At 43.7% G+C, this 16,228-nt stretch overlaps 1 protein-coding gene across 5 annotated transcripts in view, besides 1 other annotated feature; it reads left to right on the top strand.

Moving 5' to 3' along the window:
* The window catches only part of SLC26A8 (solute carrier family 26 member 8), an 81,126-nt gene extending 78,839 nt beyond the window's left edge, over nt 1-2,287 (top strand). For all 5 annotated transcript variants that reach the window (XM_011514294.4, NM_052961.4, NM_001193476.2 and 2 more), the window contains one exon: nt 1,463-2,287. In XM_011514294.4, the coding sequence (XP_011512596.1) occupies nt 1,463-1,903 (441 nt within the window). In that variant the 3' untranslated portion in view covers nt 1,904-2,287. The remainder of the gene's footprint in view (nt 1-1,462) is intronic.
* Nucleotides 13,791-14,441: an enhancer, noted in NCBI's record as "H3K27ac-H3K4me1 hESC enhancer chr6:35899139-35899789 (GRCh37/hg19 assembly coordinates)". NCBI's record gives its function as "activates a minimal SCP1, AML or CMV promoter by ChIP-STARR-seq in naive H9 embryonic stem cells {active_cell/tissue: H9 hESC(naive)}" and the evidence as "EXISTENCE:reporter gene assay evidence [ECO:0000049][PMID:30033119]".

Here is a 16,228-nt window from a genome sequence, read left to right as displayed (position 1 = left end):
GGTACTGGGGATATCAAGAACCAGGCCCTGTCATATACCACAAGGAGCTTAGAGTCTAGTAAGGAGTAGGTTTGTAAATAAATAAAGAATATGTTACTGGTACTATGATGGAAGTGTGAATGAGATGTAGTTGGAACACAAAAGAAGCTGTGGTCCTGCCTGGTCATCTTGGCTCTGAATCTGGGGTGATGACTAAGTGGATGTGGACAAGATGGAGGAGGACAAGGTAGGCAAAGGGAATGGCACGCACAAAGCTGAGCAGTAGTCAGGCAACTCTGGGTAACTTTATGGTGAGAGCAAAGGGCGGGGACCACAGCTGGAATAAAGCTAAAGAAGAATGGCAAGAGGCCAGGTCACACACAGCCTTATAGGCCCTGTCAAGGATTGCACTGGGGGTTGGCAAGACAAGTAAGATCAAGAAGACAAGATGTTTCAGAATGTTGTTAAGTCCATTGCTGTTTTAAATGGTTGGTCATGAAATCCGGTCTAGCTAGAAAAGCCAGAGAAATTCTAAGTTGGAAATTGATTGAGTCTGAAGAATAGTGAGTAACTGAGAAACCAGAAGGTAGAAAGAAGATGAAAAGCAGATTTATGGATGATGTCATTGGCATTTTAAAGAAAATTAAAAAAAATTTTAATGAAAAATAAATAAAGGTTGGGCACAGTGGCTCATGCCTGTAATCCCAGCACTTTGGGAGGCTGAGGCAGGTGGATCACTTGAGCTCAGGAGTTTGAGACCAGCCTGGCCAACATGGTGAAACCCTGTCTCTACTAAAAATATAAAAATTAGCCAGTCGTGGTGGTGCATATCTGTAGTCCCAACTACTTGGGAGGCTGAGGCAAGAGAATCACTTGAATTCGGGAAGTAGAGGTTGCAGTGAGCCAAGATCATGCCACTGCACTCCAGCCTGGGCAACAGAGCAAGACTCTGTGTCAAAATTAATAATAATAATAAACAGAAAAGTAGATTTAGGCAAGAAATATTTTCTACTCTGCAAGGAACCCATGGTTCTGGTACCTTAAGTCCTGTTGTATTCTGAAATTCCTTGACTGCTCAAAAATTAAAATTCTGGGTTTTTTTGTTTGTTTGTTTTTTGAGACAGTCTCACTGTGTTGCTCAGGCTGGAGTGCAGCGGTGTAAACACAGCTCACTGCAGTCTCAGCCTCAAGCAATCCTCCTGCCTCAGCCTCCTGAGTAGCTAGGACTACAGGCATGTGCCATCATGCCCAACTAGTTTTTAAAATAATAATAATTATTATTATTATATAATAATTATAATTATTATTATTATTTGTTAAGATAGAAGTTTTACTATGTTGCCCAGGCTGGCCTTGAACTCCTGGTCTAAAGCGATTCTCCTGCCCCAGCCTCTCAAAGTGCTGGGATTACAGGTATGAGCCACTGCGTTCAGCAGAAGGTTAAATTTAATTAGAAATTTTAACCCACCTAATTGTATTTCAGAATGACAATTCAAGATATAAAATGAGCAGCAGTTTTCTAGGAAGCCAAAAAAATGTAAGTCCAGGCTTCATCAAGATCCAACAGCCTGTAGAAGAGGAGTCGGAGTTGGATTTGGAGCTGGAATCAGAACAAGAGGCTGGGCTGGGTCTGGACCTAGACCTGGATCGGGAGCTGGAGCCTGAAATGGAGCCCAAGGCTGAGACCGAGACCAAGACCCAGACCGAGATGGAGCCCCAGCCTGAGACTGAGCCTGAGATGGAGCCCAACCCCAAATCTAGGCCAAGAGCTCACACTTTTCCTCAGCAGCGTTACTGGCCTATGTATCATCCGTCTATGGCTTCCACCCAGTCTCAGACTCAGACTCGGACATGGTCAGTGGAGAGGAGACGCCATCCTATGGATTCATACTCACCAGAGGGCAACAGCAATGAAGATGTCTAGGAGATGAACTAGAAATAAGGGGTCAGATAATGCTGGCAAATCCTCCTACCCAAAAAGGGGTCAATTGTCCAGAGACCTAGACTGGATACGAACTAGCAGTACTTCCTTCCTGACTGTGACTCCTACTACCTGCCAGCCTTCTTCCTTGCTCTGCGCTGGGATCATACTCCCAAATCACATTACTAAATGCCAACAATTATCTCTGAATTCCCTATCCAGGCTCCCCTCATTTCACCTTCAGCATATATTCTAGTCATGAATTTCCTTCTTCACACACCCCACATCTCTGGGCTTTGTGCCAGACCATCTCTAACTTAATCCTCTCATCCCTGTTCCCCTTTCTCCAAAGAGATGAAGCTCAAATAAAATGTATAACTCTAGTAACATTTGGATCCTTCCTGCACCTTCTCCCTTCTCTGTATTCTGTATCCTGAAGGAAATGTCAAATAGGAGGGATCCTGGAAGGGAGTGGACATCATGGAGAAGAGATGAACAAGAAAAAGAAAAATTAAGTAGCATTTGTATTTTATATGCAAGGTATTTTCCCTGTACTGATAGGGGAAATGGGGAAAACAGGCAGGTTAATCCAGGCCAAAGGTAAGCCAGCCTGTGAGACTTGTAGTACCAGGTCCTGCTAAGCTGAGAGCACTTTTGCTGTCATTCTCAGAGGTCAAGATCTTATCCTGCCACTCGTTTCATAAGGCCAATTAGTAGTACCAACTGATGGGAATTCCCTTTCTGGAACTCTCCCTGGTGTTCAGATTCACATTCACCATTGCTTCTTTCTTACAAGTTTTTAAGATATAGGCAATTTGGAATCTGTACTCTTGGTGCACCGAGGAGTTAAAATCTGTGACAGCCACAACCAGCCTAGAAGTTGGAAAAGTCAATCATTACTAGTTTTGTCCAAATCCATTCAAAAAATTTCCCCCTTCCCCATTTAAAATATGTCTAGTATTAAAGTATGACCAGAAGAAAAATATAGACCCCTGGGCAAAGGTATATGAAATCCTGAATTTTATTTCCAGCTCAAAAAACATGACTCCTCCTGTTTGGGTACTCCATTTCTCTTGTTAAGTGAAATAAATCTTAGTTAAAATATAGATTTCTTTTATCATAGAGATAGCACATGCATTCACTCATTCTACAAGCATTTTGTTACATGCATCTGCTACATGCATAGCACCTTGAACTGTGAGGTAGGTAAAATAATATTATCCTAATTTATACATGCATAAACTGAGATATAATGTGCAATATGACCTTGTAAATACAAAAAGAGGTAGGGGCCAAAGTCACAAGCTTCATTGTTTCATGTTTACTGAACACATTTATTGAACACCTACTCTGTGCTAAGCACTGTCCCAGGTGCTGAAGATATAGGATGAGTATAGAACAGATGACAAAAATAATTACAAATTGTGAAAAGCAATAAATTACAAATTGTGAAGGTGAAACACAAGAAACTCTTGGGGCATGTATCAAGAGACCTGACCTAGTCTTGAGTCTCAAGGAAGTTCTTCCCAAGGCAATGACATATGACTTGAGATCCTGAAGGATGAGTAGGAGATAGGCTTAAAGCAAGTTCCAATGACTACTAGAAGAGCAGGACCAAATGGGAAACCAAGAGCGGTGGCCATGGATGAGAACAGAAGCTGAATATCCTGGGGCACAACTAGATGGAGGCTATGATACCAAGGGCTCAACTAGAAATGTCAAACCAGGAATAAGTTGTCAGGATGGCAGGGACAGGCACAGAAATCTGCCAAAGCCAAGGAAACATTTCACATTTATAACAGGAGACTAAGAAGTGCACAGAGAGCCCAGTTTCTGCGGGCTGCTGCCTTCTCACTCCAGTTCCCTTCTAGTCCCATGTATCCATTAGAGTAAAGTCTGTAAACACAGAATCAATGGCTTCTGACACTTGCACCATTAAGTCATAGAGTCTAGACTTGGGTCCTTTCTGCCACAACTGCAACAAGGCTGTATTAGTCTGTTTTCACTCTGCTATAAAGATACTACCTGAAACCAGGTAATTTATAAAGAAAGGAGGTGTATTAGATCATTTTCATGCTGCTGATAAAGACATATCTGAGACTGGGAAGAAAAAGAGGTTTAATTGAACTTACAGTTCCACATGGCTTGGGAGGCCTCAGAATCATGGTGGGAGGTGAAAGGCACTTCTTACATGGTGGCGGCAAGAGAAAATGAGGAAGAAGCAAAAGCAGAAACCCCTGATAAAACCGTCAGATCTCGTGAGACTATTCACTATCATGAGAATAGCATGGGAAAGATCAGCCCCCATGATTCAATTACCTCCCCTGGGTCCCTCCCACAACACGTGGGAATTCTGGGAGATATAATTAAAGTTGAGATTTGGTCGGGACACAGCTCCCAAACAAATCATTCCACCCCGACCCCTCTAAATCTCATGTCCTCAAGTTTCAAAACAAATCATGGCTTACCAACAGTCCCCCAAAGTCTTAACGCATTTCAGCATTAACACAAAAGTCCACAGTCCAAAGTCTCATCTGAGACAAGGCAAGTCCCTTCCGCCTATGAGCCTATAAAATCGAAAGCAAGCTAGTTACTTCCTAGATACAATGGGAGTACAGGTATTGGGTAAATACAGCCATTCCAAATGGGAGAAATTGGCCAAAACAAAGGGTGTACAGGGCCCATGCAAGCCCAAAATCCGGTGGGGCAGTCAAATTTCAAAGCTCCAAAATGATCTCCTTTGACTCAAGGTCTCACATCCAGGTTATGTAAGAGGTGGGTTCCCATGGTCTTGGGCAGCCCCACCCCTGTGGCTTTGCAGGGTACAGCCTCCCTCCTGGCTGCATTCATGGGCTAGTGTTGAGTGTCTGTAGCTTTTCCAGGTGCACGGTGCAAGCTGTCAGTGGATCTACCATTCTGGGGTCTGGGGGATGGTGGCCCTCTTCTCACAGCTCCACTAGACAGTGCCCCAGTAGGGACTCTGTGTGGGGGCTCCAACCCCACATTTCCCTTCTGCACTGCCCTAGCAGAGATTTTCCATGAGGGCCCCGCCCCTACAGCAATCTTTTGCCTAGGCATCCAGGCATTTCCACACATCTTCTGAAACCTAGGCAGAGGTTCCCAAACCTCCATTCTTGACTTCTGTGCACCCACAGGCTCAACACCATGTGGAAGCTGCCAAGGTTTGGGGCTTCCACCCTCTGAAGCCACAGCCCGAGCTCTATGTTGGCCCCTTTCGGCCATGACCAGGGCAGCTGGGACACAGAGCACCAAGTCCCTAGGCTGCGCACAGCACAGGGACCTGGGCCCGACCCATGAAACCACATTTTCTTCCTGGGCCTCCAGGCCTGTGATTGGAGGGGCTGCTGTGAAGGTCTCTGACGTGGCCTGGAGACATTTTCCCCATGGTCTTGGGGATTAACATTAGGCTCCTTGCTACTTCTGCTGCCAGCTTGAATTTCTCTCCAGAAAATTGGTTTTTCTTTTCTATCACATTGTCAGGCTGCAAATTTTCTGAACTTTTATGCTCTGCTTCTTTTATAAAACTGAATGCCTTTAACAGTACTCAAGTCACCTCTTGAATGCTTTGCTGCTTAGAAATTTCTTCTGCCGGATACCCTAAATCATCTCTGTCAAGTTCAAAGTTCCACAAATCTCCAGGGCGGGGGCAAAATGCCACCAGTCTCTTTGTTAAAACATAACAAGAGTCACCTTTGTTCCAATTCCCAACAAGTTCCTCATCTCCATCTGAGACCACCTCAGCCTGGACCTTATTGTTCATATCACTATCAGCATTTTGGGCAAAGCCATTCAACAAGTCTCTAGGGAGTTCCAAATTTTCCCACATTTTCTTGTCTTCTTCTGAGCCCTCCAAACTGTTCTAACCTCTGCCTGTTACCCAGTTCCAAAGTTGCTTCTGCATATTCAGGTATCTTTTCAGCAGCAACCCACTCTACTGGTACCAATTTACTGTATTAGTCCGTTTTCATGCTGCTGGTAAAGACATATCTGAGACTGAGAAGAAAAAGAGGTTTAACTGAATTTACAGTTCCACATGGCTTGGGAGGCTTCAGAATCATGGAAGGAGGTAAAAGGCACTTCTTACATGGCGGTGGCAAGACAAAATGAAGAGGAAGCAAAAACAGAAATCCCTGATAAAACCATCAGATCCTGTGAGACTTATTCACTATCACGAGAATAGCACAGGAAAGACTGGCCCCCATGATTCAATTACCTCCCCCTGGGACCCTCCCACAACACGAGGGAATTCTGGGAGATACAATTAAAGTTGAGATTTGGTGGGGACACAGCTAAACCATATCAGGAGGTTTAATTGACTCACAGTTCCACATGACTGGGGAGGCCTCAGGATACTTACAATCATGGTGGAAGGCAAAGGGGAAGCAGGCACCTTCTTCACAAGGTGGCAGGAGAGAGCAAAAGGGGAGCTGCCAAACACTTTTAAAACCACCAGCTCTCGTGAGAACTCACTATCACGAGAACAGCATGGGGGAAACTGCCCCCATGATCCAATCACCTCCCACCAAGTCCCTCCCATGTGGCGACTGCAATTCGGATTACAATTCAAGATGAGATTTGGATGGAGACACAGAGCCAAACCATATTAATGGTAAAATATTGGCTTTCATGCATGACCTCAGAAAGACCAACCAGATGCTTGGACTATACTCCGTCTTTTAAAAATATTCTGGTATAAACCCATAGCATTGAGCCCCTCCCAAAGTAATCAAATAAGGAAAATTGATTAACTCATCGTAAATAGTACAGCACTAAAGAAAGGGTAAAGTGATTAACAATTCAAAGGCTAAGTCTTCCAACATGCAGATCACTCGAAATTCTAAGCCATTTCAAACTTTACCAAATGGTATAGTTTGGATTAGTTAGCTCACTTTTTGCAGCATGGTCATCATGGCTTTCTCTCTCTAATAAGAAACTGGAGAAAAATTCTAAAGGCTGCAAAATGGGTAAAGAATAAGTTGGAAAGTATAAATGTCTTGGAAGCACAAATACTTCCATTACTTTCCCTCAAAACAGCTTGTGTTCTACAGTAAATGGCGGTTGAGGTATGATTTTCATATGTGAATATCTAAGTGGATTCCACAGTACTGCAAAAAAGTAGGTTTGAAAGAGACTGTCAAAAAATAAAGTGACCCCAGGTAGCTGTCTCTATATGTGTTAAGTGTCACAAAGTCCAAGGACTCAACTATATTGCATCCAGATGTGACTCATTAGCAGAGGTAGAGAATAATGGCATAATCCAAGGTATTATTAGGGCCATAGAATTTCAGTGGTTGGAAGGACCACGAGGGCTGACTAGTCAAATTACCCATCTAATCTCTTACAATTTAATTAAACATTTATTGGAATGCTCACCATATCCTAGATACTATGTGTTTTAGTAATCTATTGCTGCGTAACAAACCACCCCAAAATTTAGTAGCTTAAAACAATAATCATGCATTTGCTAATAATTCTGCAATTTAGGTTGGGTTTAGCTGGGCCTATTTTTTAAATAATTTTTTAGTTTTGCAGCTGGGCCTGTTCTTTTATTTTTGTAAAGACAGGGTCTTGCTATGTTGCCCAGGCCAGTCTTGAACTCCTGGCCTCAAGTGATCTTCCCACGTCAGCCTCCCAAAGTGTTGGGATTACAGGTGTGAGCCACCACAACCCACCCCCAAATATTTTTTATACCTGCTTGGTTGAATCTGCAGATGTGGAACTCATGAATATGGAGGGCCGACTCGACATAGTACCACCTATAACGTAATTATGCCAAAAAATTGAACCCGAATATTATCAGTCCTCTAGATCTGGTAGATTGTAGTAAATACAAGGAGCAGAGGAACATGTTAAATAACACTAGGAGAATCTAATTAGTAGAATCCAGAAAATTCAACGGAACAAATGAACCAGTTTCTTTAACAACTAAGATGAAAAACAGCTGGGCATGGTGGTATGTGCCTATAGTCCCAGCAACTTGGGAGGCTGACACAGGAGGATCGCTTGAGCCCAGGAGTTAGAGACCAGCCTGGGCAACATAGAAAGACCACATATTTAAAAAAAAAAAAAAGATGAAAAACAAACATAACAACAACAAAAACAGAGGGAGGAGGAACCTATAAACCAGGAGACTTAAGTGTTATATCAACTACGTGCAATGCATGGACCTTGTTTGAATCCTATGTGAACTAATTAACTGGAAAAGAACATAAGAAAACTTCTACTTTTGAGTAAAATGTAGTAGGATGTTACAGTTTATCACTTTACATCAAGAGGAAAAACATGAGCTGGGCATCATGGCTCATGCATGTAATCCCAAAACTTTGGTAGGTTTAGGCAGGAGGATCACTTGAGCTCAGGAACTCGAGACCAGCCTGGGCAACATGGTGAGACCCTGTCTCTTTAAAAAAAAAAAAAAAGTGAAAAAAAATGAATGAATTATAAAAATCATATTTTGAAAGATATTGGAGAGCTGTAGAAGCAAAGAAGATTAAAAGAACTAAAAGTTAAGAGAGAAAAGATTCCTTCCCAGGGAAGTTGAGATTATTGGCCATTTTCTTTCTTAGGGGTTTGTATTAGTCTGTTTTTACACTGCAAAAGACATACCTGAGACTGGACCATTTACAAAGGAAAGAGGTTTAATGGAGAACTCACAGTTCCACATAGCTAGAGAAGCCTCAAGATTATGACAAAGGGCAAGGAGGAGCAAACCACATCTTACATGGATGGCAGCAGGTAAAGAGAGAGTTTGTGCAGGGCAACTCCCATTTTCTAAAACCATCAGATCTCATGAGACCCATTCACTATCACAAGAATAGTACAGGAAAGACCCACCCCCCCAATTCAATCATCTTCCACCAGGTCCCTCCCACAACATGTGGGAATTATGGGAGCTACAAGATAAGATTTGGGTGGGGACACAGAGCCAAACCATATCAGGGTTATTTGCTGAGTTTGGGTAAGTGCTAAAGATCAGGCTTTCCTTAGGCACAGTGAAGCTTCTGATAGCACATGGGCTGTCACAACCAACTGACTGCTGTTCTACTCAAGACATCTGCTGAGTGCCAGGGCCACTCAGGAGACTAGAGATTGGCCTGCAAAGGCAAAATGAAGTTTCCTACAGTCCGAAAATGCTTAGGAGACAAGGTACCACTATGGAAACAGGACATAAGCACACAAAGAGTCTTCCCCTTGAAACATTTAAAATCAGAGGTGGGCTGAGTCTAACCAATGCCAGAGCATAGCTCAATTCCTGATTGAATTGAGATGATAACTGCCTCACCTTATTTGCCTTATTAGGCAAATAGAAAAAAAGAGTATATCTTATCTTGGGGGCAGTAACATTGACTTCAGTTTATGTTTTTAAACAACATCCAGCATATAGTTAGAAACAATCACAAGGCACATGAAGAGGCAGGAAAAGTATCTGATAATTAAGAAAAAATTATATAATATAAGCAGTCCCACAGATGATCCAGGTGTTAGAATTAGCAGTCAAGGACTTCAAAATAATGATTATAAGGATGTTAAAGTAGAGTAAAAGATGGGCAAAATGAAGATAGATAATTTCAAAAGAGAATTGTAACCTATAGAAAAAGAATCAAATGGGCATTCTAGAACTGAAATATGAAGTATTAGAAAATAAAAACTTATCAGATGAATTTAACAGACTGAACACAGCAAAACATAGGATTAGATAACTGAGACAGTAAACAGAAAATATTCTAAATGAAGCACATAGAGAAAAAAATGAAAAAAAAAACAAAACAGAAGAGAGCATTCAAGACATGTAGGACAAAGTCAAATGGCCTAATATATATCTTTTTTTTTTTTTTTTGAGACAAAGTCTCACTCTGTCACCCAGGCTGGAGTGCAGTGGCACGATCTCAGCTCACTGCAACCTCCGCCTCCTGGGTTCAAGGAATTCTCCTGCCTCAGCCTCCCGAGCAGCTGGGACTACAGGTGCACACCATCATGCCCGGCTAATTTTTGTATTGTTAGTAGAGACAGGGTTTCACCATGTTGGCCAGGCTGGTCTCAAACTCCTGACCTTGTGATCCGCCCACCTCAGCCTCCCAAAATGCTGGGATTATAGGTGTGAGCCATCGTGCCTGGCCCCCTAATATATATCTTATAGGAGTTCCAGAAACAGAGAAAAGAATAGGGAAAGCAATTTCTGAAACTATAGTGACTGGCAATTTGCCAAAACAGGAAAGATCGTTCAAAGATTCAAGACGGCTGAAAAGCAGGATAAAGTAGAAACCAAGTGTAGGCATATAATAGCCAAGTTGCTGAAAACCAAAGATAAACAGTAAATCTTACACAAAGCCGAGAAAGAAGACCCATACTTACAGGAGAACAGCAAGAACACTGATTGCTAAACTTTCCCATGAAAGCCAGAAGACTCTTTTAGGATGACATCTTTTAAGTTCTGAAAGAAAAAAAATATGGGCTGCGTGTGTTGGCTCATGCCTGTAATCCCAGCACTTTGGAAGGCTGAGGTCGGAGGATGGATCACTTGAAGCCAGGAGTTTGAGACCAGCCTGGCCATCATGGCAAAACTCCATCTCTACTAAAAACTTTTAAAAGTTACTCAGGCATGGTGGTACGTACGCACCTGTAGTTCCAGCTACTCGGGAGGCTAAAGTAGGAGAATCGCTTGAACCCCAGAGGCAGAGGTTGCAGTGAGCTGAGTTCACACTATGGCACTCCAGCCTAGGCGACAGAGCAAGACTTGGTCAAAAGAAAAGAGAAGAGAAAAGAAAAGAGAAAAGATGGCGACCTAAAATTGCTGAGAGATGAATGAGCTTGAGGATGAAATGCATATTGCTGAGTTCTGAGGTCTCTCAGCTTCAGACTGATAACTCCAAAAAGTGGTTTGTGTGTATCATCAAAGAAAAAAAAAGCCTTGACAAATTAATTTTGACTTACTGCTCACTCCTCTCTATCTGAATATGGCCTAAAAAACAGTTTTTTATATACCTGAATCTTTTTATTCATTCATTCATTTACCTACCCATGCATTTATTCTCTTATTCATCCATGCATGTTTGGATCAAATATTCAAGATAGTACTTACCCTGAAGATCTCCATAATCTGAACAAGATAGATGGACAGAATACACTACAATATAATGTGATATGTACAACTCAAAAATTAATTAAGAAAGAAAAGCTACAGTGGCCAGGAATGGTGGCTCTCATCTATAATTTCCTTAAAGAGCAAGTATTATTCTCCTCCTTTTCTGTATCTTATAGATTTCTCTGAAGAGCAAATATTCTGAGATACAGAAAAGTAGGGGAAAAGCGAATCTCCTGTACAGATAAACTCTCCTGCCTACAGATAAACTCTGTTAACATTCAGGGGTTTTTGCTTTACTGTAAAGCATAGACTTTGCCATAATAGTGGAGGAATTCCCCTTTCCCCCTTCCCAGTCTTATAGAACTTTAAAAAAAATCCAGCAAATCATGAGGTGCCTTGTTTAAATCTAAAAGAAAAATAACCCATCCTAACATGCATTTCTTGTTCTCAAGGAAATTAAGATAAACAACTTGGGAAGTGGGGCCAGCTCCCCATACCTGGACACAGCCCTCTAGGCAGCTCCAGACCTACATGTTTGTTTCCAGCATCCTTTCCTTAGGTTTAATAAACTTGAGAAACTGCCAGGGGAGTCGACAGAAACTATGGCCATTCCCTTACCCTCTCCAATTGTTTTAGGAAGCTGCCTCTCCAGTCCCAGGGAAGGCTGTCCTTGGCCAACCTGTGACATCAGCAGTTTACCTCCAGATTTCTTCACTTAAGGAATATTTGAGTGCTTGCTTTGTACTCAGCCTTATGCCTGTCTGGGGTTTTACAGCATGAGTTCCTTCTCTGGAAGAAGTCACAGGCTGAGGGGGAGAGTGCATGCAACTCAGGGACTATAACGCTGGGTGCACTGACCAAGTTGTTTCAGAGAAGAGGGCTGTGAGGATATGGAGGAGGCAGGACAGGACTTTACCTCACCCTCTGCTGGGGGCATTGGGGAAGTCCTGTGGATAGGGGGCTTGAGGGAAGCATGTGGCTCTTCTGGTCACAGATACCCACGGTGCCCTTAACCTGCTACATCCCCTGAAACTTGACCACTGGTTTTCATTCCACCTGTAGTATCTGCCTCTGTGAGATCTCAATGCATGTTATAAAGGATGCATAGGAGACAGAGCATCTGAGAAAATTCCTACTCTCTCACTCCACAATTATGCTGGGCTGCCCCCTCTCTTCTAGATAACACATGTGTTTTTATTAGCGGCCTACAGGCAGGCCAAAATAGAATAACACCCATTTATCAACCCTTGGCTGTGTGTTAAGCTCTGTTCAAAGCACTTCATGAAAGTCAACACATTAACCTGCACAAAAATCCTGAGGTAGGGCTGTTATTACCCCATTTTTTTTTTTTTTTTTGAGAGGGAGTCTTGCTCTGTCACCCAGGCAGGAGCGCAATGGTGCGATCTCGGCTCACTGCAAGCTCTGCCTCCTGATTCAAGCAATTCTTCTGCCTTAGCCTCCCGAGTAGCTGGGATTATAGGCGTGCACCACCATGCCTGGCTAATTTTTGTATTTTTAGTGGAGACGGGGTTTCATTATGTTGGCCAGGTTGGTCTTGAACTCCTGACCTCAGGTGATCCACCCACCTCAACCTCCCAAAGTTCTGGGATTACAGGAGTGAGCCACAGCACTGGGCCTAATTTTTGTATTTTTAGTAGAGACGGGGTTTCACCATGTTGGCCAGGCTGGTCTCGAACTCTTGACCTCAGATGATCCACCTGCCTCCGCCTCCCAAAGTGCTTGGATTACAGGCATGAGCCACCACACCCAGCCTATTACCCCCATTTTCTAAATGAGGAGATGAAGGTACATTTTCCCTCTGCCCTAGATTCCACCAAAACCGCTAAATCTAACATTTTGTCTGCTGCTTAGCATCTACAGCAGCAAGGGTTTAGGATGAACCCAGTAGTATAAATTTCTGGGCTGGTTAGAGGCAAGGGTGGTGCCACCAAGGAGGAAAGAGGCAGAGTTGGAATGAAGGACAACTCACACCAATGAGTGCATGAAATGGTGCAGATACCTGACGGGCATTATCATATTTCATGGTCACTTCCTCCTCTGCCTCTCCTGGAAGGAGGGCCAATTATTCTTTTTACACATGGGAAGAATCTAAGACCAGGAGTTTGCCCCAAAATTACAGCTATTCAATGTCACTGTCAGACTTCAAACCCAGGTTGGATTCCAAAGATTAGGCCTTTTCTCTGCTCCACGCTGCATCTTTGATTTGGAGAAAGGTGACCTTTTGGTGCCTTTGGACGGAGAAACCCAAATCAGTGCAGCACTGGGTGCCTCTGTCTCTTTGCCCGCTCAAAGTGCGTCCGGAATGAAGCCGCCAACCCTCGCCGTGAGTGTTACAGCTCTTAAGGTGGCGCGTCTGGAGTTTGTTCCTTCTGATGTTCAGATGTGTTTGGAGTTTCTTCCTTCTGGTGGGTTCGTGGTCTCACTGGCTCAGGAGTGAAGCTGCAGACCTTCGCGGTGAGTGTTGCAGCTCTTAAGGCGGCGCATCTGGAGTTGTTCATTCCTCCCAGTGGGCTTGTGGTCTCGCTGGCTTCAGGAGTGAAGCTGCAGACCTTTGCGGTGAGTGTTACAGCTCATAAAAACAGTGTGGACCCAAAGAGTGAGCAGTAGCAAGATTTATTGCAAAGAGCGAAAGAACAAAGCTTCCACAGTACAGAAGGGGACCCGACCACGTTACCACTGTTGGCTCCGGCAGCCTGCTTTTATTCTCTTATCAGGCTCCACCCACATCCTGCTGATTGGTAGAGCCGAGTGGTCTGTTTTGACAGGGCGCTGATTGGTGCGTTTACAATCCCTGAGCTAGACACAAAGGTTCTCCATGTCCCCACTTAGATTAGCTAGATACAGAGTGTGGACACAAAGGTTCTCCAAGGCCCCACCAGAGTAGCTAGATACAGAGTGTCGATTGGTGCATTTACAAACCCTGAGCTAGACACAGGGTGCTGATTGGTGTGTTTACAAACCTTGAGCTAGATACAGAGTGCCAATTGGTGTATTTACAATCCCTGAGCTAGATATAAAGATTCTCCACGTCCCCACCAGACTCAGGAGCCCAGCTGGCTTCACCCAGTGGATCCCGCACTGGGGCTGCAGGTGGAGCTGCCTGCCAGTCTGGTGCCGTGTGCCCACACTCCTCAGCCCTTGGGTGGTCGATGGGACTGGGCGCCCTGGAGCAGGGGGCGGCACTCATCGGGGAGGCTCGGGCGGCACAGGAGCTCATGGACGGGGTGGGAGGCTCAGGCATGGCGGGCTGCTGGTCCCGAGACCTGCCCCGCAGGAAGACAGCTAAGGCATGGTGAGAAATCGAGCACAGCGCCGGCGGGCTGGCACTGCTGGGGGAACCAGTACACCCTCCGAAGCCGCTGGCCTGGGTGCTAAGCCCCTCCTCATTGTCCGGGGCCAGCAGGGCCGGCTGGCTGCTCCGAGTGCAGGGCCCGCCAAGCCCACGCCCACCTGGAACTCCAGCTGGCCCGAAAGCGCCGCGTGCAGCCCCGGTTCCCCCTCGCTCCTCTCCCTCCACACCTCCCTGCAAGCTGAGGGAGCCGGCTCCGGTCTTGGCCGGCCCACAAAGGGGCTCCCGCAGTGCAGCGGTGGGCTGAAGGGCTTCTCAAGTGCCGCCAAAATGGGAGCCCAGGCAGAGGAAGCGCCGAGAGCAAGCGAGGGCTGTGAGGACTGCCAGCACGCTGTCACCTCTCAAAAGCATACAGCCAGAAACAGGTAGTTTTTACATTCTTTCATAACATTCCACATACATTCATCAAGCATCAAGTAGGTAGGGTATCCAACAGCTTTCTATGTCCTGGAGATACAGCAGTGAACAAAAATCAAACATCTCAGCCTTTATGGAGCTATCATTCCAAGGTGTGGTGGAGCAGACAAAAGTAGCAAGCAAACAAACAACCAAAAACAAACGCCTCTCTCCCTCCCCCAGTGAATCTCAGGTGCATTGCCAGTGGGTGTATAAATCTCCCAGGGGTCCACTCGAAGGAATATACTGAAATACTGGTGTCTGGATTAAAAAAGTAAGGAACTTTAATGACCAAGTAACACATCTTTTTGTAAGTTAGGTAGCTTCCAATTATTTGTTTCCAACAAAATTGAATAAGGACCTCCTGGAATTGTCAGCTGATGGGTCATTAAAATGAGTTTGGACTATGATTGTTGTGTGATTTTTGGCACATTATTTGGAAACAGTTCCAAAAGAACTGAATGCTATTGCTATAGCAAACCCCTTTTCATTCCCATCTACTTGTTTTATGTAAGTTTTCTTAATAAAAAAAAAAAAGGAATAGAATGATGCAGGACTCATTGAGAAAAATCACATACCATCACACTGAAATGCATTTGCAATAAAATTTCATTTATTGAAAAATGATGCTATATGTTACTTTGATTAATCATGCAATAATAATACTTGTAATAATAGGTAAGGAACTTTTCGAAGGATTATGGTCCGAGGAAATGTTTTTACAAATTAAATTTCCACATAAATGCACATTTGTGTGGCAGAGAAGTATGAAAGGATGATCGATAAAAGACTTTCAAGCATAAAATTAGCAGAGGATAAACTTCTGTGAGAACAAAATGGAATAGAAAGACAAGTTCAAGGAGAAAAACGAGTAATGTAGAATTTATTATAGTACCAAGAGTGCTTTTGCTTTATATATCTCTCTATATAAATGGATGATGGTACATAACAAATTGCTATATATATTTAAATTCCATTGGATGACATTCAAAACTGTGATATAACAGCTTTATTTTAAAATTTCAAATTCCCTTCCAATCTGTATGCCTTTTATTTAATTTTCTTGCCTATTGTTTCTGGCTAGAACCTCCAGCACAGTACTGAACAGGAATGGCGAGAGTGGACATCCTCCTCTGGTTCCTGATCTTAGGGGGAGGGCATTCAGCCTTTCATCATTAAATATGATGTTAGCTGTGGGTGTTTCATAGATGACCTTGATCAGGTTGAGAAAATTCCTTTCCATTCCTGGTTTGTTGAGTGTTTTGCCTAGGGCTAGTTTTTAAGATTATTTTAGTGGGTAAGGGAGCATAATGCTTGAAAGTTCAAGTTCCTTAGATGTGCTATCCCTGCTATTTGTTACCCCAGCACCAAACACAGTACCTGCCTAAAAAAGAAGGGGGCCCATAAATATTTGTGGGCAAGCTATCTCTCACCACTCCCCGCTTGCATTATATGTGTG

This window comes from Homo sapiens, chromosome 6 (assembly GCF_000001405.40).
Source record: "Homo sapiens chromosome 6, GRCh38.p14 Primary Assembly".
Lineage (NCBI taxonomy): Eukaryota > Metazoa > Chordata > Mammalia > Primates > Hominidae > Homo > Homo sapiens.
Note: the sequence above shows the minus strand (reverse complement) of the source record. Positions and strands in the feature narration are given on the sequence as shown.